This window comes from Homo sapiens, chromosome 22 (genome assembly GCF_000001405.40).
Source record: "Homo sapiens chromosome 22, GRCh38.p14 Primary Assembly".
Lineage (NCBI taxonomy): Eukaryota > Metazoa > Chordata > Mammalia > Primates > Hominidae > Homo > Homo sapiens.
In genome coordinates, this window is record NC_000022.11 from 30,690,230 (window position 1) to 30,714,552 (window position 24,323).

Genomic DNA, 24,323 nt, shown 5'->3' on the forward strand with positions numbered 1-24,323 from the left:
CAATTCACCTGCCTTCACCTCCCAAAGTGGTGGGATTACAGGCATGAGCCACTGCGCCCGGCCCCCTTCTGCATTTATTCGCTAATTATTCATTTATTTTTTCCTTCATAGAGATGGGTTATCACTATGTTGCCCAGGCTGGTTTCAAACTCCTGGGCCCAAGGGATCCAGTTGCCTTGGCCTCCCAGTGTTGAGATTACAGGTGTGAGCCACTGCACCTGGTCTAGCTAATTCTTCTATACACATTTTTCCTTCGTGAAGTCTTTGTTACTATGAGATAGTTTGTACAACAAGGATAGGATACAGACTTAATTCTTTCCCTTTATCAATTTTCAGAATAATGAATTGGTACTGTGGTAAACTCCACATATGACCAATAAGGCGGGTTTTTGTTTTAGTGGGTTTTTGTGTGTGTGTGTAACTTTAGGAACGTATGCATTTAATTTATGGATTTTTATTTAGTTGATGTTTCATCCCGTTGCAATCATTATTCTTTTTGCTCATATTCTTCCACCTTTGGCCACTGTGAGCCCCTTTAAGTTGGCCCGAGTGCTTTTGTCACAACAGTGGTCTTGAATAGCCTTTTCACTTTCTGGCATGACAAAATGTCCAGGCAGGCTCATCTTGCATATTTCCTGCCCCAGACTTGTAGTTGGTAAAAAATCTCCTTTGGGCCGGGCGCAGTGGCTCAAGCCTATAATCCTAGCACTTTAGGAGGTCGAGGTGGGCGGATCACCTGAGGTCAGGAGTTCAAAACCAGCCTGGCCAACATGGTGAAACCCTGTCTCTACTAAAAATACAAAAAATTAGCCAGGTGCAGTGGCGCACACCTGTAATCCCAGCTACTCGGGAGGCTGAGGCAGGATAATTGCTTGAACCTGGGAGGCAGAGGTTGCAGTGAGCCGAGATCGTGCCACTGCACTCCAGTCTGGGCGACAGAGCAAATAAATAAATATATAAATTAAAAAAACTCCTTTGTCCCCAGGAATCCTTCTTTCTGTAGGCTAAAGAGCATTCCTCACAGTGTGGTGTCCACCCAGCTCTGTTCCATCTCCTGTCTTACTCTTCCAGATATGATGAACTATTTATCACTTCCAGACAAGCTGTTCTTTCCCAACATAGGACTTAGACTATGCTGGTTCCTTCACCTTGAATGCCCTTTCACTCCTTATCCCTTGGACTCAGTGCAAAAGTTGTCCCTTCTCTGACTCCTTCTTCACTCACTCTGGCAGAACTAATGAAGATGGCAGGCCCTGTCATCTTTGAGAGCTTGGCAATTTATTGCAGCAGTCAAAACATATCCTTAACTATTTGTTTACTAGACAGCTTCCTTCCTTAAGGGTTGCAAACGCATCTGATGCATACATAGCAGGCACTGAGCTTTGCCCATTGTGGTTATTTCCCAAGCTTGTCAACCTTGGTCTCATCTCCTTCTGCTCTGGCCTCTGTTTAGTTCATTTCACCAAACATTTCACAGAGAACCCTCTAGTAAATAACTAGAGAATATTTACTAAGCACTTACTATGTCAAATATGGTTTACATACATTATTTCATTACAACCTGAGAGGTAGTTGTTATTATCCTCATTTTACAGATGAGCAAGTGGAAGCTCAGCGGGGTCACTGAAGGACCCACAGCAAGGGAGTGGCCGAACTGGGATTTCTTTCGTGGGTCTGACTCCCAAAGCCGTAGATGTTCCCTCCACATCACTGTCCACCAAAATGTGCTCCATGATCCATCCACATGCAAAACCTCTGGGAAATCATTAAAATGCATGTTCTCAGCTGGGCGTGGTCCCTCATGCCTGTAATCCTCATACTTTGGGAGGCCGAGGTGGGTGGATCACCTGAGGTCAGGAGTTCGAGACCAGCCTGGCCAACATGGTGAAACCCCGTTTCTACTAAAAATACAAAAATTATCTGGGCCTGGTGGCGCATGCCTGTAATCCCAGCTGCTCGGGAGGCTGAGGCACAAGAATCGCTTGAACCCAGGAGGCAGAGGTTGCAGTGAGCCGAGATTGTGCCACTGCATGCCAGCCTGGGCAACAGAGCAAGACTCCATCTCAAAGTAAATGAATAAATAATAAAATGCATGTTCCTGGCTGGACGAGGTGGCTCACACCTGTAATCCCAACACCTTGGGAGGCCAAGACAGGAGGATTCCCTGAGCCAGGATTTCAAGACCAGTCTGGGCAACATAGGGAGACTCCATCTCTACAAAAAAAAATTTTTTTAATTAGCTGGGTGTGGTGGCACATGCCTGTAGTCCCATCTAATCTGGAGGCCGAGGTGGGAGGACCACTTGACCCCTGAAGGCCAAGGCTGCAGTGAGCCATGATTGCATCACTGCACTCCAGACTAGGTGACAGAGTAAGACACTGTCTCAAGAAAAGAAAAAGAAAAAAAAAAAAAAAGCATGTTCTTGGATTCCACCTCTGACTTACTGGGGATGGAGAAGTGAATTTCTTTTTCTTTTTTTTACTAAGATGGAGTCTCTCACTGTCGCCCGTGCTGGAGTGCAATGTTGCGATCTCGGCTCACTGCAACCTCTGCCTCCTGGGTTCACGCAATTCTCTTGCCTTGGCCTCCCGAGTAGCTGGGATTACAGGCACACACCACCACACCCGGCTAATTTTTTTAATTTTTAGTAGAGACAGGGTTTCATTATGTTGGCCAGACTGGTCTCCTGACCTCGTGATCTGCCTGCCTCGGCCTCCCAAGGTGCTGGGATTACAGGCATGAGCCACCGTGCCCAGCTCTGGAAAAGTGTGTTTCTAATAAACCTCCCTGGGGTGATTTTAACAATTATCATCATTATTTTGAATCGGTGAAACATACACACAGTGAAACATACACAGTAAAACATACAAAAGGTTCAAAGTGTGAGTGAAAAGCAAGCATTCCACCTCATTTCTCAGTTGTCCAGTTCTGTCCCCCACTACACCCCAGAGGCAATCACTTTTCCTTGGGGGGACTCACCATGCTGAAGTTTGAGGGTCACCGTCATACATATGAGATAGACCAAGATGGGGGGCTCTCTGCACTCCAGAGCTCACAGCAAAATTGCAGGTAAGACCACCATTCAAAGACAAGTGCCTGAGGAAGGGGTCTCAAAGTCACCAGCAAAGATGCCAGCGGCTCCTGCTCAGTGCATGTCTGCACCTCCTATTTCTAGGACCTTCCAATCTGCTTCCTTCTGGGGACCACTTCACGTAGGAAGCAGTCCCTACACAGGTTATCTTGTCACAAGCAAAGATCAGGAATGGATAGGTGGGTAAGGGGAGAGTAAGACGTGATGGTGAGCTAAGAGGAGTCTGCAGAGAGGTCTAAGCTTGAAAAGTCTGGACAGAAACCCAATGTTCAGTCTTTCCATTTGTATTTCTGATTATTTGTAGTAACCATCAACTTTCGTCATTTGGATAGATTCTTAAGAAAAAAAAAAAATCACTGATGGCTGGGCACAGTGGCTCACGCCTGTAATCCTAGCACTTTGGGAGGCCGAGGCGGGAGGATCCTGGCCTGAGGTCAGGAGTTCAAGACCAGCCTGACCAACATGGTGAAACCCCGTTTCTACTAAAAATACAAAATTTAGCTGGGCATGGTGCGGGCCGTGGAATTCCAGCTACTAGGGAGGCCAAGGCAGGAGAATCGCTTGAACCTGGGAAGCGGAGGCTGCAGTGAACCAAGATCACGCCACTGCATTCCAGCCTGGGCTACCGAGTGAGACTCAGTCTCAAAAAGGAAAAAAAAAAAAAGCGGAAAAAAAAATTCGCTGATGTTTTAACCATTCTGGGGTCACAGCCTCCTTTGTTATGGACCTACTCTGGAAAAATGCACAGACAGGTAAACCTCTGCGGAAGCCTCACAGACTGCCAGCCTACCCAGGGATCCCGGGAGGTCCAAGTTCAGAATCCCACTTTGAGATGTTTCTTGTACTAAAACGCTTGGTTTACAAAAAGTCTTCCCCTATTTGTTTAGAGAACCCGAACGATGTCGTCACTGGCAGCGAAGCGCCTTGGCATGAACCGTAGGCCAGCTGGCTCAGGAGGTGGAGGCGGTGAGGCGGCCACTTGGGGCCACCGCTTCTGGCGGCCGCAGGAGCGACCCACAGACAGGTAATGGCTGCCATGGGGGGCGGGGCGTCGTCTTTAGCCTTTAGCGCCCCTGTGCTTCGTGCGCATTTCGTGGCCTCTGGGTGCCGTACCTGCTTCCCACCCGGCTTTCCTGGGTGGCGGAGAGCGAACCCACCCCAGCCTGGGTTGGGGGAGGGGGCGTCGGCGCAGGGTCCCGTGGGCAGAGCTGCGCTGGGAGCTGGCGGGCTCCGCATTCATCATTGTTCCTCCAGCGCCTGGCACGGCTGGGCCGAAGCAGAGACCGTGGCCTGAAGCGCGCCATCCCCTTCGGAGTTGACCGACCACCAAGCTCTTCCGCCCACAGGTGTTGTCAGAGCTCCTTCCACCGGCCGGACCTAGGAAGGACCCAGGGTCCAAACATGGCCCGAGGCTGGCCGAGAGCACAACAGCCGGCGGGCGCTGACGGGCACGGAGCGCACGGGACCGCGGAGGAACCCGCGCGCGCCCCCGCCTCGCGCCGCGCGCACGTGACTGCGCCCCCGGCCCCGCCCCCGGCCTGCCCCCCGCCCCCACTGGCCGCTCGGCCGCGCGCGGGTCGGCCGGCTCTATGGGGAAAGCGGCGGCTCCGAGCCGAGGCGGCGGCTGTGGCGGCCGCTCCCGCGGGCTCTCGTCGCTGTTCACGGTTGTCCCCTGCCTGTCGTGCCACACGGCGGCGCCGGGCATGAGCGCTTCCACGTCCGGCTCCGGGCCGGAGCCCAAGCCCCAGCCCCAGCCCGTGCCCGAACCGGAGCGGGGACCGCTGTCAGAACAGGTGTCGGAGGCAGTTTCGGAGGCAGTGCCAAGATCGGAACCTGTGTCCGAGACGACGTCTGAGCCGGAGCCAGGGGCTGGGCAGCCATCGGAACTGCTGCAGGGGTCGCGGCCGGGGTCAGAGTCAAGCTCAGGTGTAGGGGCTGGGCCCTTCACTAAGGCCGCATCGGAGCCGCTCTCCCGGGCGGTGGGGAGCGCGACCTTTCTCAGACCCGAGTCAGGATCGCTGCCAGCGTTAAAGCCCCTGCCTCTTCTGCGACCAGGACAGGCGAAGACTCCTCTTGGGGTTCCAATGTCGGGGACTGGCACGACCTCCAGTGCCCCACTGGCCTTACTGCCTCTGGACAGCTTCGAGGGCTGGCTTCTCAAGTGGACCAACTATCTGAAGGGCTACCAGCGCCGCTGGTTCGTGCTGGGCAATGGTTTGCTCTCTTACTACAGGTATGGAAGCGCCAGGGTGGGACATGGGGGTTGGAGGGTGGTGATGCTGCAGGGATGGTGATGGAGGGCCTCCATGGTTGGCGGACACTGCCACTAGTCTAGAGATGTTTAGGGGCATGCATTCCAGCAGGCCAAGTCACGCTTCTGGCCCGCCGCCAAGGGCCGGGGGCCCTGACCTCTGGCAAGGGTGAATGTGATCTGCGGACATGACCTCTGGCAAGCTTGGGTTTTTGGGCAAGTGGGGAGGTGGAGTAAGGGAGTGATCTGGGGCCTCAGTTCCCTTCTGCTTGGCAGTTGTGGGGCTTGGGGCAGCTAGCTAGAGTCAGCCCCTCAAAGTCCTTGCCCTTTCTGGTTCGGGAGCTAACATCATTGTGTGTTTGGGATTGAGGGAGAGAGTCACCTTGTTCAGTCCTTAGGACCCACACTCTTAGGAAGGGCTGCTTATTCTTCCCGCCTGGGGCAGTTACTCCCACCTTTCCTGATGCCTCTGGTTGCCAGGCCTTGGGCTGGGCACCACAGACTCACAGATGTATTGGACACGGTTCTTGGCCTTCAGGAGTCCATCTTGGCATTTTGCGGAGAGCTAGGAAGTGTTTTGCTGCCCTCCTTTCTTATTCCAGACCCAGCACGGGATTCAAAATTAAAGTCCAGTGGTGAGAGAGCTAACACTGTCTTCCCACTGAAACTGGTTGAAAGGAGGTTACTGAAGCCTCCCTTTGCTTTCTTACTGGCTCTTCCCTGGGTCTGCTTCCTGGGGATGGTTGGTTTAAGCCTTGAGAACTCAGATCAGTCTATGCCAGTGGTTCTCAAACCTGAGTGTGCATCAGCATTCCCTGAAGAGCTTGTTGGAACACAAAGTGCTGGGCCTCCCCAATGAATTTCTGTTACAGTGGGCCTAGGGGAAGGGCCTGAGATTCGGATTTTCTAATAACTTCCCAGGCGTGGCTGGTGATGCTGGTCCAGGACCACACTCTGAGAAGCACTGTTTCATTGCTGCACACAAAAGGACCTTGACTTGCTGTTGCTGAAATTCAGGTCACTTCACTCACTTCATTCAGCCAACAGTATCCCTTCAAGTCACCCACTACAGGGTTTTGTTTTTTGTTGTTTTTGTTTTTGAGACGGAGTATTGCTCTGTCGCCCAGGCTGGAGTGCAGTGGTGCAATCTTGGCTCACTGCAACCTCCGCCCCCCAGGTTCAAGCAATTCTTCTGCCTCAGCCTCCTGAGTAGTTGGGATTACAGGCGCCCGTCACCATGCCCGGCTAATTTTTTTTTTGTATTTTTAGTAGAGATGGGGTTTCACCATGTTGCCCAGGCTGGTTTCGAACTCCTGACCTCAGGTGATTCGCCTGCCTCGGCCTCCCAAAGTGTTAGGATTACAGGCATGAGCCACCACACCGGCCTCTCCTGTCTTACAAATGAGGAGTTCTGAGGTTTGATGGGGAGACACAGAGCCCATTATCCAAAGGCACTGGCCCAGTAGACGGTAGAGAGGGATTCTGAACACCAACATCTGGACCTGTCCCAAATGTGTCCTGATACCCACTCACCTTTGAGTTCAGCATGTCTGTGTTACCTGTATTTACCAGGTACTACTAAACTGAAGAGTTAAAGGTAATGTTTATAAGTATAGTCTCCCACAGTGGCAGAAATGCCTGGTTTTAGTGGAAGTAAAACCTGATATCATGCTTTTGGGTTTTAATTGGAAGAGCAAAGATGTCCATCTTCTTTTTTTTATTTTTTGAGATGGAGTCTCACTCTGTCACCAGGCTGGAGGGCAGTGGTGCAATCTCGGTTCACTGCAACCTCCGCCTCCCAGGTTCAAGCAGTTCTCCTGCCTCAGTCTCCCAAGTAGCTGGGATTACAGGTGTGCGCCACCACACACGGTTAATTTTTGTATTTTTAGTAGAGGCGGGGTTTCACCATGTTGGCCAGGATGGTCTTGATCTCTTGACCTCATGATCTGCCCGTCTCAGCCTCCCAAATCTTCTTTTCTTAAAACAAAATGTGTAGACGGTTGACATTTCAGAGTGATCTCAAGTGTGCAGATTCTCTGGGTAACTAAGAAAAATTCTTACTGCTTGCTGATAATGTTGTGAAGATAAATGCTAGTTTTGTGGGGAGGAGGGAGTGAGAACAAGTTTCTGGTGTGTGTGCGTGTACAGTCCAGCTCTGCAATTTCCTTTTCGGACTTTTCGAGATTCTAAGATGGGTCAAATTGTTGCTGACCTTACCCAGGTATAATGAACGATTCCTGACATTTATACGATCCTGTGCCCTCATTGCATTCCATGCAAGGCTGGCCAGGAAAGGGGAACTGAGGCTGAATGAATGAACCTCAATGGCCTCCCCAGAGACGGCCAGCTTGCAGGCTGTGTGTCCGAATGCCACCAGAGATGAGTATATGTGCAGAAAAGGCCCTTTTGAAGTGCAGCTGGAATTGCCACTTGAGATGTTTGACGCCGCTCTCCTGTCCCCACTTCTGATCTGAATTCCCCTTCTAGAACAGGCCATCTTGCCAGCTGGGATCAAGGACTGAGCATCCTCCAGGTCTGTCACGTAACCCTGACAGCAGCAGGGTGGGTTTTCGGATGCGCCAAATGTGCCCAGTGCCGTGCATGTGTGTTATCTCCTCCAGCCCTCTCCAGACACCCAGCTCTCAGCAGGTGGCCAAATGGGTGTGGCTGGGGATAGAGGTGAGATTAGGGTGCTTGTGAGTTGGAAATAAAGTGAAAGAATTTTTAAATTCATGATCTCTTTTCCTTGGGGGCTGGTAGAGTCAAGCTTACCTGCTGGGCAATGTGGCTGGCGAAGAAGGAATCAGGGCCATTTCTCTTGCTGGCTTCTCTTTTGGAAAGACCACTCTCAACTTTTTAATTTTTCTTTTTCTTTTTTTTTTTTTTGAGACAGAGTCTTGCTCTGTCGCCAGGCTGGAGTGCAGTGGCGTGATCTCAGCTCACTGCAATCTCTGCCTCCCAGGTTCGAGCTATTCCCCTGCCTCAGCCTCCCGAGTAGCTGGAACTACAGGCGTGCACCACCACGCCTGGCTAATTTTTTGTATTTTTAGTAGAGACGGGGTTTCACCATATTGGCCGGGATGGTCTCAAACTCCTGACTTCGTGATCTGCCCGCCTTGGCCTCCCAAAGTGCTGGGATTACAGGCATGAGCCACTGCACCTGGCCAACTTTTTAACTAAGTGAAGCCTGGTGTTTGGAGAAAATGTGAGCATCTATTTCTTGTGCCCCCTGCCATCCCATCCCACTTTCTGGCCTCCCCTCCTCCAGGATAGCCACTATTCCTAATCCTGGTCGCCATGCACTTTTCTCCCCATTTTATTTAATTTTATCTCATCTAGGTGTAATATTTAAAAGTCCATATTTTTTATTGCAATTTTTGTTTTTTTTGAGACAGAGTCTTATTCTGTTGCCCAGGCTGGAGCACAGTGGCACGATCTTGGCTTACTACACCCTCCCACTCCCAGGTTCCAGTGATTCTCATGCCTCAGCCTCCTGAGTAGCTGGGATCACAAGCGTGTGCTACCGTGCCCAGCTAATTTTTTGTGTGTTTTTAGTAGACACAAGGTTTCGTTATGTTGGCCAGGCTGGTCTCAAACTCCTGGCCTCAAGTGATCCACCCCCTTCAGCCTCCCAAACTGCTGAGATTACAGGCATGAGCCACTGTGCCTGGCTATGCAGTCATCTTTAACCTTATTTCAAAAAGGGTTTCTAATATATAGAGTATGTTATTTTTACAAGACTTATTTTGACTATTGTATAAAGTCCAGGGTGCAAATGTAGCACCTTTTACTTATGCATTTTCCTGATGATGGGTCACTACAAACATTCTTGTATGTGTGCCGGAATTTCTCTTGAGTATAATTTCTGGGTTGTAGAGAATTGTGAATGTTCATCTTACGTAATGCCAAACTGTTTCCCAAAGCAGTTGCACAAATTTATATTCCCAACGGTCATGAAAAAGAGATTCTGTGGATCCTTATCCTTTGCAAGACTTGGTATTGTCAGTGTTGATTTTGCTAATCGAATGGGAACTGTGATCGCTCATTGTAGTCCTGACCTGCATTTCAATTTCCATTATTTTTACCTTAATAGCAGAAGAGTGGGGGTTTGGATTAAAATTTCTCCTTTCAATGTCACTTCCTCAGGTACTTCTGCCCTGGATTTTGCTCGAGAAACTCATTTGATTGCTTAAGTATATTCTAAGGAAGAAAGCACATTTTACCAATAGTTGGGCTTAATAACATTCATATTATTAAGAATTTTTAAAAATGCTCTTTATAAATATTATCACATGTAAAAAGTATTTCTATGAGATATGGATAATTGTTGGCAGATTTTCACTTCTTTCTGACAATGTGCTTGGAATATAAATAAGGCAGAAGATTCTTTTTTTCTTTTTTTTTTTTTTGAGATGGAGTCTCGTTCTGTCACCCAGGCTGGAGTGCAGTGGCACGATCTCGGCTCACTGTGACCTCTGCCTCCCAGTTTCAAACAATTTTCCTGCCACAGCCTCCCGAGTAGCTGGGATTACAGAGGCATGCCACCACACCCAGCTAATTTTTTTTGTATTTTTAGTAGAGACGGGGTTTCACCATGTCGGCCAAGCTGATCTCAAACTCCTGACCTCGTGATCCGCTTGCCTCGGCCTCCCAAAGTGCTGGAATAACAGGCTTGAGCCACCGAGCCTGGCCTAGAAGACAAGATTCTTATTCCATTACTTGGCATTCTTAATTATATGTTTATTTGCATACTAACAAGGAGAATATAGGAATATGGTTTTTTGTTCAATGTTGGCTTTTTTTTTAATTGCGGGAAGTTCCCTTTGAAAAAATTTATCCCTAGTTCTTATCTCACAGGGAACACGTGATTCCATAAAATTAGAGAATAATTCCTAAATGATACAGAATTTTCAAATGTATTGTCATCAGCAAGTTTTTATGGAGAAAGTGTTCCAAACAGAAGTTTTATCTATATTAATGACAACATTTATTAGGTTAGGCAAACTTCTGTTTTGTTGTATACCAGTTGTCTGCTTGGTGACATTATAAATGACATTTATTTCTCAGGAAATGATTTCAAACAGAAGCATTTTAAATAATTTATTTATTGTTCATACTGATCTCTGCTTAGTAAATGGCTAAGCCAGTTAGCAAGGAATGCCTCCCAGAAATTAGCCTAGGTCTATAAGGTAGATAGCTGCAGTCAAGTGAGAACAAATTTTGAAAGTCCTTGGCTGGGCACAGTGGCTCATGCCTGTAATCCGAGAACTCTGGGAGGCTGAGGCGGGCAGATCACCTGAGGTCAGGAGTTCGAGACCAGCTTGACTAACATGGTGAAACCCACCCCGTCTTTACTATATACAAAAAAAAAAAATTAGCTAGGCGTGGTGACGCATGCCTATAATCCCAGCTACTCGGGAGGCTGAGGCAGGAGAATTGCTTGAACCTGGGAGGCAGAGGTTGCAGTGAGCCGAGATTGTGCTATTGCACTCCAGCCTGGGCAACAAGAGTGCAACTACGTCTCAAAAAAAAAAAAAAAAGTCCTTTGGCTGAGGAAGACCACTGAACACTTGGTGAGCTGCACCCATTTTGGGTCAGTGGCCAGGTAACAGAAGATGGCACACCAAGACATTGTTGCCTCTGGGATAGATTGTGTACTCACCCTTCCCATGAACTCAGTTCTCAAAAGCCAACTGCTGTGAAAACTGGGCACCGAGAAATATTGTACTGTTTTCAATGTCAATTTCTTTTTTTCTTTTTTCTTTTTCTTTTCTTTTTTTTTTTTTTTTTGAGACAGAGTCTCGCTCTGTAGCCCAGGCCGGAGTGCAGTGACATGATCTCGACTCACTGCAAGCTCCGCCTCCCAGGTTCATGCTATTCTCCTGCCTCAGCCTCCCAAGTAGCTGGGACTACAGGCACCTGCCACCACACCCGGCTTATTTTTTGTATTTTTAGTACAGACGGGGTTTCACCATGTTAGCCAGGATGGTCTCGATCTCCTGACCTTGTGATCCGCCCGCCTCGGCCTCCCAAAGTGCTGGGATTACAGGCGTGAGCCACCACGCCCAGCCTTCAATGTCAATTTTGATAATACTCAAAGGCTGGAGATGGAAAAGTCCATCCAGTTGCAAAGCGTCCCTGAAAACATGAAGTTGAGGGTGCAAGTGTGCAGGGTTAGTCCTCACATAATGGGCTGGATACCCCCGAAGGTAGCTTTATTGGATTCAGCTTTAATTTGAAATTATTATTCATTGTTACATACTCTGAGACTGTTAGGAGGCCGAAAAGGAATGCACAGGTTGATCATGTGTAAGCATTTGAAGTATATTTTCTTAGCATTTAGCACAGAGTTGTTGCAAAGAGGTGACAAATGGACTAGCAGCATATTTTGGAGGAGCACAGTGCACACCAACATTCTTAGCAAGTTCTAGTGACATGAACTGTCATTTTCCCCACCAAACCTGCCTCCCCCTCCTAACTCCTCTTTCTATGAATAGCTGAATACCTCTGAGTCATACTTGCTGCCTCTTCCCTCCCTCATCCCACATTAGATGAAATTTCCAAGTCCTGCCTGTATATCTCCTCTAGCTCCTCCTCTCCATCCCAGTTGCCGCATCATGGTTCAGGTCTGCCTTCTGCTTACCTGGTGTCCCAGCTTCTGTCCTGGACAGTGCATCCCTGCTGTGGTGCTAGTGTCCCACCTCCATGACCCTGGGGTTGTCTCACCTTCTCCAGGATTCTCTTTCAATAGTACCTTCTCTGCTGGGCGTGGTGGCTCACGCCTGTAATCCCAGCAGTTTGGCAGGCTGAGGCAGGTGGGTCACCTGAGGTCAGGAGTTTGAGACCAGCCTGACCAACATGGCGAAATCCTGTCTGTACTAAAAATACAAAAATTAGCTGGGCATGGTGGTGGGTGCCTGTAACCCCAGCTACTCGGGAGTCTGAGGCATGAGAATCACTTGAACCTGGGAGGTGGAGGTTGCAGTGAGCCAAGATCATGCCACTGCAATCCAGCCTGGGTGACAGAGTGAGACTCGGTCTCAAAAAATAAATAAAATAAATAAACAAAACAAAACAAAACAGTACCTTCTCCTGTGTAAGCAGATCCCTGTATTGAATTTCTCCTGTTTGAAATACCTAGAGTAGCCCCGTACTGATCCAAAGAACCAGGTCTTCCTCCTTTGGGAATTTACAGGGTATGTCTGAGCTTCTCTGCAGATAACTTTGTGTCAAGGGGACACCATGGCCAAGTTTGGCATCTTCTTTGTATTCCACATAGAGCCTGGAGTAGTACTTGCCACTGATACATCCTCAGTAGCTTGGTTTGTCTGTTAATAGATGAGTGAGTAAATGAATTAGAGTTGCCTGTGAGTTTATGGGATTTCAGAAAGCCAAGTATGTTCATGCCAAACTTGAATTTTTCTTAATTTGTCTTCCATTTCAAAAACTTGTTTGCTGCAATAAGTTAACTGGGGAGATAAATTGGAGATTGCAGGCTTAAGCCAGGAGTGCAGGAAAAGCAACAGTGGGAATGTGGATATAATGTGTTTCTAGCTTTGAATGTGTTGCAATAGGCTACTCAGTGAACCAGTATCTTATTTTTTTTTTTTTAAATTTTTTGAGATGGAGTCTCGCTGTGTTGCCCAGGCTGAAGTGCAGTGGCAAAATCTTGGCTCACTGCAACCTCTGCTTCCTGGGTTCAAGCGATTTTCCTGCCTCAGCCTCTGGAGTAGCTGGGATTACAGGTGTGCACCACCACACCCAGCTAATTTTTGTATTTTTAGTAGAGATGGGGTTTCACCATGTTGGCCAAACTGGTCTCAACCTCTTGAGTTCAAGTGATCCACTCTCCTCAGCCTCCCAAAGTGTTGGGATTATAGGCGTAAGCCACCATGCCCGGCCTTATAGCTTTTTTTTTTTTTTAGACAGAATCTCACTCTGTTGCCCAGGCTGGAGTGCAGTGGCACGATCCTGGCTCACCACAACCTCTGCCACCTGGGTTCAAGCAATTCTCCTGTCTTAGTCTCCCAAGTAGCTGGGAGTACAGTCACCTGCCACCATGCCCTGCTAATTTTTGTATTTTTAGTAGAGACGGAGTTTCACCATGTTGGCCAGGCTGGTCTCAAATTCCTGACTTCAAGTGATCTGCCCGCCTCAGCCTCCCAAAGTGCTGGCATTACAGGTGTGAGCCATCGTGCCTGGCCTGGCCTTATAGCTTTTAAAGCTACTTTTCTGTGTATCTGATGGCTTGCCTTGCACTGTTGGAAGCCAGCTATTGATCAAAGAAGGGGCCTCTACCCTAAAATGTTAGATCCAACTGGATAATACAACCTTTTGTCTGTGGGGTATTCTGCAAGTGTCAGAGTGACTTCCAGTTTATGCTTTCAGTGCAGGAGTGCTGATCTTGCCATCCTGTTACATGGGGAAAAAACTGGAAGCACATGAACAGCACGAGGATTCAATCACAGTCTTCTGACTCAGCCCACGCAAAGGTGTCCACCCACCTCACACTGGGGAGACTCTTCTGTGGGGTCCTGGGTTGGAGGTCTCCGAAAGTAACCCCAGGCTCAATGACCCACTAGGAGGACTCACAGGACTCAGCATATATTAATGGCAAAAACTGTGATTACCTTTGTACCAACCTAATAGTTGTACCCACAGCTATACTTTATTACAATGAAAGGATGCAAAGAAAGCACGATGGCAAAGAAACAGAGTGAAGTCTGGGGAAAAACAGCTGCAAGCTTCCAAGGGTCCTCTCCCAGTGGAGTCACACAAGATGCGCTTAATCCCTCCACCACCGAGTTGTGACAACGCACGTGAAATGCTGCCAACCAGGGAAGATCCTTAGAGACTCAGAGCCCAGGGTTTTTACTGGGAGTTCGTCATGTGGGCACCTTCTGTTTGGCACGTACCCAAATTCCAGATTCCCAGAAGGAAAGCAGATTTTTTTTTTTTTTTTTGAGACAGAGTCTTGCTGTGTCGCCCAGGCTGGAGTGAAGTGGTGCAGTCTCAGTTCACTGCAACCTCTGCCTCCTGGGTTCAAGATATTTTTGGCTAATTTTTGTATTTTTAATAGAGATGGAGTTTCACCATGTTGGCCAGGCTGGTCTCGAACTCCTGACCTCAGGTGATCTCAGCCTCCCAAAGTGCTGGTATTACAGGTGTGAGCTGGAAAGCAGATATTTGCCATAAATCACATCGTTTGTACAAACAGTATAGGCACAGTGAGCCACCCTTATCAGTTAGGGAATGGTAGGAAACCTCCCCAAATTCAAGCTACCAGACACTAGCCAAAGGCCCCTTGGAAGCAGGCCTGTCAAAGGACGGGCAGTCTCAGGCCTGCTGTGTGAACTCTTTTCTGCACAGGTGTGAACTCATTCCTCCTTGCAGACATCAGTGACATCAGTCAGAGTAAGGGCTGGTTCAAGGAGAGTGAGTGCCCATACTTGGCTTTGAGTGATGGAGTGGCCTCTTGTCTCTGATCAGAGAAAGCCACATGCCAGTCTTGCAGGGTGTCAAACACATAGCATGTCTGCTGCTCTGTGTGCTGAGTGCCTGCTCTGTGGCTCTCCTGGCCCTGTGATTGGCGGTTGATTGCATCACAGACACTTGTCTGATCTAGACCTTGCCCAAGGTCATCTGGCGGCTTGGTTTTTGCAAGTGACTGGGGTACACTTGCCACATGGACCCCTTCCTCCCCAGTATTTTTGTTGTTGTTGTTGTTGTTGTTGTTGTTGAGATGGAGTTTTGCTCTTGTTACCCAGGTTGGAGTGCAGTGGCGCGATCTCAGCTCACCGCAACCTCCGCCTCCCGGGTTTAAGCAATTCTCCTGCCTCAGCCTCTCGAGTAGCTGGAATTACAGGCATGCACCACCATGCCCGGCTAATTTTGTATTTTTAGTAGAGTCGGGGTTTCTCCATGTTGGTCAGGCTGGTCTCGAACTCCCGACTTCACATGATCCACCTGCCTTGGCCTCCCAAAGTGCTGGGATTACAGGGGTGAGCTACCGCGTCTGGCCTCCCCAGTATTTTTGCGCCTTTGGTGGAGTGTCTGCTGTGAGTTCTTCAGCTGCTGCTACTGAACCTTGTACGTTTCTCAGGGAGGGTCTGTTAATCCAAGATTGGGGCCTGACAAGAAGTCTGAAACGTTTGTGACAGTGAGCCTGCACTAGCTTTGGTCATATTGTTTATTGATCTCCTGCAGTGACCACAATGTGCAAGGCAGTGTGAGTGACAGACCTGCATACCACTGTCACACAACTGGAGTGGAGGAGGGGGAGGGAAGTGTGCACACACCCTGGTTATTTAGTAAGAGGCCAACAGGTTGAGGCAAAGTGCTTTGTGGGAGCCCCTGGATATTCAAACATGTGGCTTTCACTTCCCCTGTAGTCTTTTGGGATACAGCTGGCAAACTATGTCAGTAAAGAAAGACAGGTCTATGAAAAGGCTGTGAGGTTCCCTAGAACAAGATCAGTATATGCTTATCCCAAGGGGAAAGAGAGGGGAAATGGGCCTGTTCCCTGGATGACTGCTGGATGCTGACACGTGGAGAGAGGAGATGGTAAGAAACACCTCTGAACAAAATTGAAATTGGCAGCTTGGTGTGTGGTGAATCACACAGCAGGTGTCACCACACGGAGATGTGGCTTTAAGAGGCCCCTTTCATAATCATACACACGGAGCAAACTGTCAATAAGTTTTGGGGTCATGCTGGGTGCTGTACACTTTTTTTCTTTTATGTGCGATGCTTTGCCACGTTGCCTTACTTTTTTTTTTAAGAGTCCTTGGAGTTCTGATTGCTTAGTGATGCTTCATTCCATTTGGCATCTTGTCACACGCACAGCCACAGCTCTACATTTAATACCGATTTAACAATCTTGACTCACACCATTTGATCTGCATTGCTGGGCCATTGCCTGAAACCAAGAGGAGGGCAGATGGTGTGGCTGAGCTTGCATAGGAAACTGCCAGATTGCATTGTCCTTTGAAGCAGCAGGAGGTGCCGCCTTCCTAATACAGTGTGTGGTTTCCCTGGGCTCACCAGATGAAGCCCTGACCCTCGGCGTGATAGTCACTGTCCTTCACAGCCAGGTCCTGCCTCTCTTTTCCCTATCACTCATCTTCTTCCAGCCTTGACCCTTCTTCTAACAAACTTGCCTTACTCCCCCTTTGCAAGCCACATGTGTTTCATTCCTCACTCCAGATCTTCCTGCCATCCCCTCAGCCAGAAGGACCCCTCCTCATTGCTGCTGAAATCCTATCTGGGTAGGCTTAATCCCAGGGTCATCTCAGCATGGACCTGTATGGATTTCCTGCAACGATCTGGAGGAACTGTCCTTCTTCTGGATGCCTTTTTGTGTATTTCATTTGGCCATGCACCCCATCAGCTGGGTATTCGTCCTTCTCTCTCCGTTAGATCAATACCTCCCTCCTCCCCACCGGAACATAGGGCCATGTCTTCTCAATGTAGTGTCCTCTAGAGTGCTGGGCCTAGGGCCTTATACTTGAAAGACTCTCAAACTTCAGTGAAGCTTTTTTTTTTGAGACGGAGTCTAGCTTTGTCGCCAGTCTGGAGTGCAGTGGCGTGATCTCAGCTCACTGCAACCTCCGCCTCCCGTGTTCAAGCAATTCTTCTGCCTCAGCCTCCGGAGTAGGTGGGATTACAGGCTCTCGCTGCCACGCCCGGCTAATTTTTGTATTTTTAGTAGAGACAAGGTTTCACCATATTGGCCAGGATGGTCTTGATCTCCTGACCTCAAGTGATCCACCCACCTTGACCTCCCAAAGTGTTAGGATTACAGGCGTGAGCCACCGTGCCCGGCCTTAAGTGAAGCATTTTTATAGAAAATGTACTTTTTGGGCCCAGTGCAGTGGCTCACACCGGTAATCCCAGCACTGTGGGAGGCTGAGGCGGGCGGATCACGAGGTCAGAAGATCGAGACCATCCTGGCTAACACAGTGAAACCCCGTCTCTACTAAAAATACACAAAAAAAATTAGCCGGGCACGGTGGCGGGCCCTGTAGTCCCAGCTACTCGGGAGGCTGAGGCAGAGGAATGGCGTGAACCCGGGTGGCGGAGCTTGCAGTGAGTCGAGATCATGCCACTGCACTCCAGCCTGGGCAACAGAGCGAGACTCTGTCTCAAAAAAAAAAAAAAGAAAATGTACTTTTTGTAATTTTGTGTTTTGTTCCTAGTATAAAGACCCAACATGCAGCCTGAACCATTGCAGTAGCCGAGGGGGAGTCAATGAATTGCTAGGAGAACACAGTGACCACGAGGCTACACATGGCCCAGCTTCTTCAGCCCCATTTCTTTTTTCTTTTTTTTTTTGAGACAGAGTCTCACTCTTGTTGCCCAGGCTGCAGTGCAGTGGTGCAGTCTTGGCTCACTGCAACCTCTACTTCCTGGGTTCAAGCGAGTCTCCTGCCTCACCCTCCCGAGTCGATGGGATTACGGGCATCTGCCACCATGCCTGGCTAATTTTTGCATTTTTAGTAGAGACAGGGTTGTGCCGTGTTGGCCAGGCTGGTCTCGAACTCCTGACCTCAGGTGATCCACCTGCCTCAGCCTCCCAAAATGCTGGGATTATAGGTGAGAACCACCTCGCCTGGCTGTTCAGCCCCTTTTCTAAGGCTTACATGAGCTAAGACTATGTGAGGATATTGAGAGCTCATTGTATTAATGTGTATTTAAAACTCTTTTGTTATGAAGAATTTTAAACAACATATATAAGAGTAGACAATAGCATAATGAAACCCCATGTACCCATTACCTAGTTTCAACAATTATTAACTTCTAGGCCAATCTCGTTTCATCTCAGTCCTTCTCAAATCATTTTAAAGTGAATTCTAAATATGATATTTTACCTGTGACTATTTCAGTATATATCTCTAAAGGATAAGGATTTTTTTTTTTTTTTTTTTTTTTTTTTTGAGACAGAGTCTTGCTCTGTCACCCAGTCTGGAGTGCAATGGCATGATCTTGGCTCACTGTAACCTCTGCCTCCTGGGTTCAAGCAATTCTTCCGCCTCAGCCTCCCGAGTAGCTGGGATTACAGGCGCCCACCATCATGCCCGGCTAAGTTTTTAATTTTTGTAGAGACGAGGTTTCACCATGTTGGCCAGGCTGGTCTGGAACTCCTGACCTCAGGTGATCCGCCCACTTCAGCCTCCCAAAGTGCTAGGATCAACAGGCGTGAGCCACCGTGCCCGGCCAAGGATAAGGATTTTAAAAACATATCCACAGGCCAGGGGGGTTGGCTCATGCCTGTAATCCCAGCACTTTGGGAGGCCAAGGTGGGTGGATCACCTGAGGTCAGGAGTTCGAGACCAGCCTGACCAACATGGTGAAAACTTATCTCTACTAAATATAAAAAATTAGCCGGGTATGGTGGTGGGTGCCTGTAATCCCAGCTATTTGGGAGGCTGAGGCAGGAGAATCACTTGAACCCAAGAGGTGGAGGTTGCTGTGAGCTAGGTTGTCCTGTTGCACTCTAGCCTGGACAACAAGAGCGAAAACTCCATCTCAAAAATAATAATAATAAAATAAATAAATAAATAAACAAAAACATATCCACAATACCACTATTACAACTAAAACAAGTTAACAATCATTCCTTATCATCAGCTATCCAATCAGTGTTCACAATTTCAGTGGTTTCAAATGTCATAAATTTTTTTTTGGATACATTTGTTTGTATTGGGACTCAACCAAGATCTACCCATAGAATTTCCCACAGTCTGGATTTTACTGATGGCATTTTCTTGGTGTAGGTTAACATGTTCCTCTCTCCTCTGTAAGGTCTTAGTTTGACAGATGGATCTAGAAAGTTGAATAGGTGGTGGTGTGTTCTTCCATCAGGAGTTGGTGGCTTCTCTTTTTTTGTGATGTTAGCAGCTAGTGATGATCAATCTTAGATTAGTCTAATTGTTTTTTGTTTGTTTGTTTTTTGTTTTTTTTTGAGACAGAGTCTCACTCTGTCTCCAGGCTGGAGTGCAGTGGTATGATTTCGGCTTACTGCAAACTCCACCTCCCAGATTCAACCAGTTCTCCTGCCTCAGCCTCCTGAAGTGCTGAGATTACAGGCATGAGCCACCGCACCTGGCCAAATTAGTCTAATTATTTAAAAAAAATTTTTTTTTTTTAAGACATGGGGTCTTGCTGTGTCACCCAGGCTGGTTTGTGAACTCCTGGGCTCAAGTGAGCCCACACTTGGCTTCCCAAAGTGCTGGTATTACAGATGTAAGGCCACCTCGCCCAGCCCAGATTAGTCTAATTCTATCACTTCATCCTCATTTATTGGCAGGGATACTTTTTTTTTTTTTCTGAAATGGAGTCTTGCTTTGTCACCCGGGCTGGAGTGCAGTGGTGCAATCTCAGCGTACTGTAATCTCTGCCTCCCAGGTTCAAGCAATTCTCCTGCTTCAGCCTCCCGAGTAGCTGGAATTATGGGCATGTACCACCATGCCTGGCTAATTTTTTTGGTATTTTTAGTAGAGACAGGGTTTCACCATGTTGGCCAGGCCGGTCTTGAACTCCTGACCTCAGGTGATTCCCCCACTCAGCCTCCCAAAGTGCTGCGATTACAGGTGTGAGCCACCGTGCCCCGCCTTAGCAAGAATACTTCTACAAAGAGAAACTTCCCCTCATCTGCTACTCGATGGTTACTCAGAGGTGCAGTTCACACAGGAAGAGCAGAATCAGTGCTTGACTCTTTCCTGTTTTGTTTTGTTTTGTTTTCAAAAATTTTCAAAATAATGAGTTGGCACTTCTCTTCTAGTGGTGGCCAATTAGTTGTGTTTTCTTAAGCATCATTACCTCTCATAGATATCAGCATGTTTGATGTGTTTCCCACTACTGTCATTACCCTTAAAGATGCTCATGTTGTCCGGCCATGTCTTTAGTTAGTGGAAGTCTCTTCAAGTTGGCCCTAGAGTCCTTTGGAAGGACCCCTGATAGAATTAGTGTTTAATAGCTTCCTTGCTGTCTGGCTTGAAAACATGTTCCAGGCTCTTCTTATACTTGTCTTTTTTTTTTTTTAGTGTGTATTTTTTTGAGACAGGGTCTCACTCTGTCACCCAGGGTGCTGTACAGTGGTGCGATCTCAGCTCACTGTAACCTCCACCTCCCAGGTTCAAGCGATTCTCCTGTCTCAGCCTCCCTAGTAGCTGGGATTACAGGCATGTGCCACCACGCCAGGCTTATTTTTGTATTTTTAGTAGAGATGGGGTTTCACCATGTTGGCCAGGCTGGTCTCAAACTCCTGACCTCAGGTGATGTGCCTGCCTCGGCCTCCCAAAGTGCTGGGATTACAGGCGCCTGCCACCACGCCCGGCTAATTTTTGTATTTTTAGTAGAGACAGTTTCACCATGTTGGCCAGGCTGGTCTCGAACTCCTTGACCTCAGGCGATCCGCCTGCCTCGGCCTCCCAAAGTGCTGGGAATACAGGCGTGAGTCACTGCGCCCAGCCTTGTACTTGTCTTGTCCCAGGCCTGGAGTCAGCCATTTCTCCAAGGAGCCACATTTCTTTTTGGTGGGAAATAGTGTTTGAAGATCATAATCTTGGTGCCATAAGGGGTCATTGTCACCCAGTTGGTCATTGTTTCTAGGTCTTTTTAGTGTATAGAGCTAGGAAATATATATATATATATTTATGTGTGTTTGTTTTATAAAAGCTAGGAAATATCTATATTTTGTTTTATACAGAACTAGGAAATATATATATTTATACAATGTTTGATACTATATATATGTACATACATATATATATAAATACATTTATATCCTGGCTCGGTATAAAGCAAACAAACAATGTGTTTGTTCTCTTTAAAGATAGAATATATTATCAGTTCATACTGGTATTCTCAACACAAAATTAAGACCAGGCCTGGCTCAGTGGCTCAGGTCTGTAATCCCAGCACTTTGGTAGCCAAGGTGGGTGGATCCCTTGAGTCCAGGAGTTTGAGACCAGCCTGGGCAACATGGCAAAACCCCATGTCTACAAAAAATGCAAAAATCAGCCAGGCATGGCGGTGTGTGCCTGTGGTCCGAGCTACTCAGGAGGCTGAAGTGGGAGGGTCACTCGAGCCTGGGAGGCAGAAGTTGCACTGAGCCAAGATCACATTACTGCACTCCAGCCTGGGTGACACAATGAGACCCTATCTCAAAAAAAAAAAAAAAAAAAAAATTAAGTCCACAGTATTTTTGCTTAGGTAGAACTCATTTTCTCTGTGTTTCATCTCCTTGCTGAAGCCCACCATGGTGTCTGCCTGGTCCCCTTTAGCTGGGGTGGGTTGGTAATCATCATTATCTCAAAGCTGGTTTGATGACATAGGTCTCTGGAGACCTGTAGAAAGACTTTGTCACTTTATTCAGCTAATGCTTAGACTCCAGACTGGGCTTCATACATCTCTCCCAGAGGTACTCACGTGACACGAAAGGTGCAGGCCAACACTGGTGTAATACACAGGATAATGCAAGTGACCCAAACGGAGATCAATGGCAAGTGGGTCCATGGGGGAGCAACTCTTTGAGAAAGACAGAGCGTGTCAGACTGTTTCAGACCCTGTTCTCCAGATCTCCTTTACCATTGGTAGTTTTTGCCTCCAGCTTCCTCCTTACCCTCCTCCTCTTTCTTCTCCAAACCTTGGGACTTGACCTAACCCTCCCACCTCACCTTTTCCTCCCACCTGGCAGAATGACATCTTTGTTTCTCTAGAGCAGTACATCAGCTGGGAGAGGAGGAGCCCAGGAAATTCTTGTTGAACTGAAATGTGCTCAAGCCTTCCCACCTCCTTCATTTGCCCTGGGAGGAGAGTGCCAGATGTGTATTTGTTGGTTCTGGGTCCTTTGAAAGTATTAAGTAAGGATGTGGATGGCCATTTCCATGAGGTCAGGGCTCCCAGCTGCTATGGAACCTCAGAATCCTCTCTCATCCTTTTGCACATTGTATGAAATGAAAAGCAGAAAACTGATCAGGAATAGAATATTGCAGGAAATAATCTTTTATATGTGTGGATCTACTTCATCACACTTCCAGTCTTCGTGACCTGGGAGGGAACTGGAGCGTCCAGGATCACCCTCATTTTACAGATGGGGAAAACAAGGCACAGAAAGTGTAGTTGCTTTGTCTAAGGCCCAGCAACTTGCATCACTGTTCATCATTTCTGTCCATATACAGGTTGTATCTTGGGGTCATTATGGACATAACCTCAGCTCTTTATTCTTTTATTTATTTACCCAGCAATGTATCTGTCTAGTGCCCTCTATGTGCCAGGCCTGCTTCTTGGGCTGCCAGTAAAGGAAGGAGCCCTGGTTTTTTGGTTTGTTTTTGGTTTTTGTTGTTTTTTTTGAGATATAGTCTTACTCTGTCACCTAGGCTGGAGTGGTACAGTGGCACCATCACGACTCACTGCAGCCTCAATGTTCTGCACTCAAGCAATCCTTCTCCACCTCAGCCTCCAGAGTAGCTGGGACTACAGGCGTGCATCACCACACTTGGCTAATTTTTTTTTTTTTTTTTGAGACAGAGTCTCACTCTGTCGCCCAGGCTGGAGTGCAGTGGCGTGATCTCGGCTCACTGCAAGCTCCGCCTCCTGGGTTCACGCCATTCTCCTACCTCAGCCACCCTAGTAGCTGGGACTACAGGCGCCCGCCACCACGCCCGGCTAATTTTTTCTATTTTTTAGTAGAGACAGGGTTTCACCGTGTTAGCCAGGATGGTCTTGATCTCCTGACCTCGTGATCTGCCCTCAGCCTCCCAAAGTGCTGGGATTACAGGCGTGAGCCACTGCACCCAGCTCATTTTATTTTATTTTTATGATTTTTTTCTTTTCTTCCTAACATGGGTTGGGAACCAATGAAGTATTTTATTTTATTTTTAAAATGTTATTTATTTATTTATTTAGACAGGGTCTTGCTCTGTTACCCAGGCTAGAGTGCAGTGGCATGATTACAGCTCATTGCAGCCTCAACCTCCCAGGCTCAAGTGATCCTCCCACCTCAGCCTCCCAAGTAGGTGGGACTACAGATGCACACCACTATGCTTGGCTAAGTTTTAAACAATTATTTTAGATACAGGGTCTTGCTATGTTGCCCAGGCTGGTCTCTAACTCCTGGGCTCAAGTGATCCTCCCATCTTGGCCTCCCAAAATACTGAGATTACAGATGTGAGCTATTACAGTCAACCTAAAATTGTTTTCATTGACACATCATAATTATATGTATTTTTGGGGTACAGGGTGATATTTTGGCTCATGTATACCACGTGTAATGATCAAATCAAAGTAACTAGCATATCCATCACCTCAAACATTTATCATTTCTTTGTGTTGGGAACATCCAAACTCCTGTCTTCCGGTTATTTGAAAATATACAATACATTATTATTAACTGTAGTCACCCTACAGTGCTGTAGAACACTAGAACTTATTCCTCCTGTCTAGCTGTAGTTCTGTATCCATTAACCAACCTCTCCTTCTCCCCCACTTCCCTCTATCCTTCCCAGCCTCTAATAACTACTATGCTACTCTCTACTTTTATGAGATTGACTTTTTCAGCCTCCACATGTGAGTGAGAACATGTGGTATTTGTCTTTCATGCTTGGCTTGTTTTACTTAACATAATGTTCTCTGGGCTCATGCATGTTGTGCACATACAAGATTTCATTCTTTTTTAATGGCTGAATAGTATTCCATTGTGTATATATACCACATTTTCTTTATCCATTCATCTGCTGGACACTTAGGCGGATTCCATATCTTGGCTATTGTGAATAGTTCTACAATAAATATGGAAGTGCAGATATCTCTTCAACACACTGATTTTTTTTCTTGTGTTTTTTTTTTGTTGTAGTAAAAAACACATAACGTAAAATTTACTATCTTAACTATTTTTAAGTGTACAGTTCAGTAGCATGGTGTATTTCACGTTGCTGTGAAACACATCTCCAAAATGTTTTCATCCTGCAAATATGAAAC

The 24,323-nt window shown here is 47.4% G+C and overlaps 1 protein-coding gene across 3 annotated transcripts in view, besides 2 other annotated features; it reads left to right on the plus strand.

The window, feature by feature from the left end:
* Positions 1 to 3,552: 3,552 nt before the first annotated feature.
* OSBP2 (oxysterol binding protein 2) overlaps positions 3,553 to 24,323 on the plus strand; it is a 214,032-nt gene continuing 193,261 nt past the window's right edge. For 2 of the 3 annotated variants that reach the window (NM_030758.4, NM_001282739.2), the window contains exon 1: positions 4,645 to 5,324. In NM_030758.4, the coding sequence (NP_110385.1) occupies positions 4,681 to 5,324 (644 nt within the window). In that variant the 5' untranslated portion in view covers positions 4,645 to 4,680. Of the gene's footprint in view, positions 3,844 to 3,978; positions 4,116 to 4,644; positions 5,325 to 24,323 lie in introns of those variants that run through there. The other variant, NM_001282738.2, reaches the window with a different exon arrangement.
* Positions 4,318 to 4,397: a silencer, noted in NCBI's record as "silent region_13615". NCBI's record gives its function as "represses an Ori minimal core promoter by ATAC-STARR-seq in GM12878 lymphoblastoid cells {active_cell/tissue: GM12878}" and the evidence as "EXISTENCE:reporter gene assay evidence [ECO:0000049][PMID:35858748]".
* Positions 4,782 to 4,831: a silencer, noted in NCBI's record as "silent region_13616". NCBI's record gives its function as "represses an Ori minimal core promoter by ATAC-STARR-seq in GM12878 lymphoblastoid cells {active_cell/tissue: GM12878}" and the evidence as "EXISTENCE:reporter gene assay evidence [ECO:0000049][PMID:35858748]".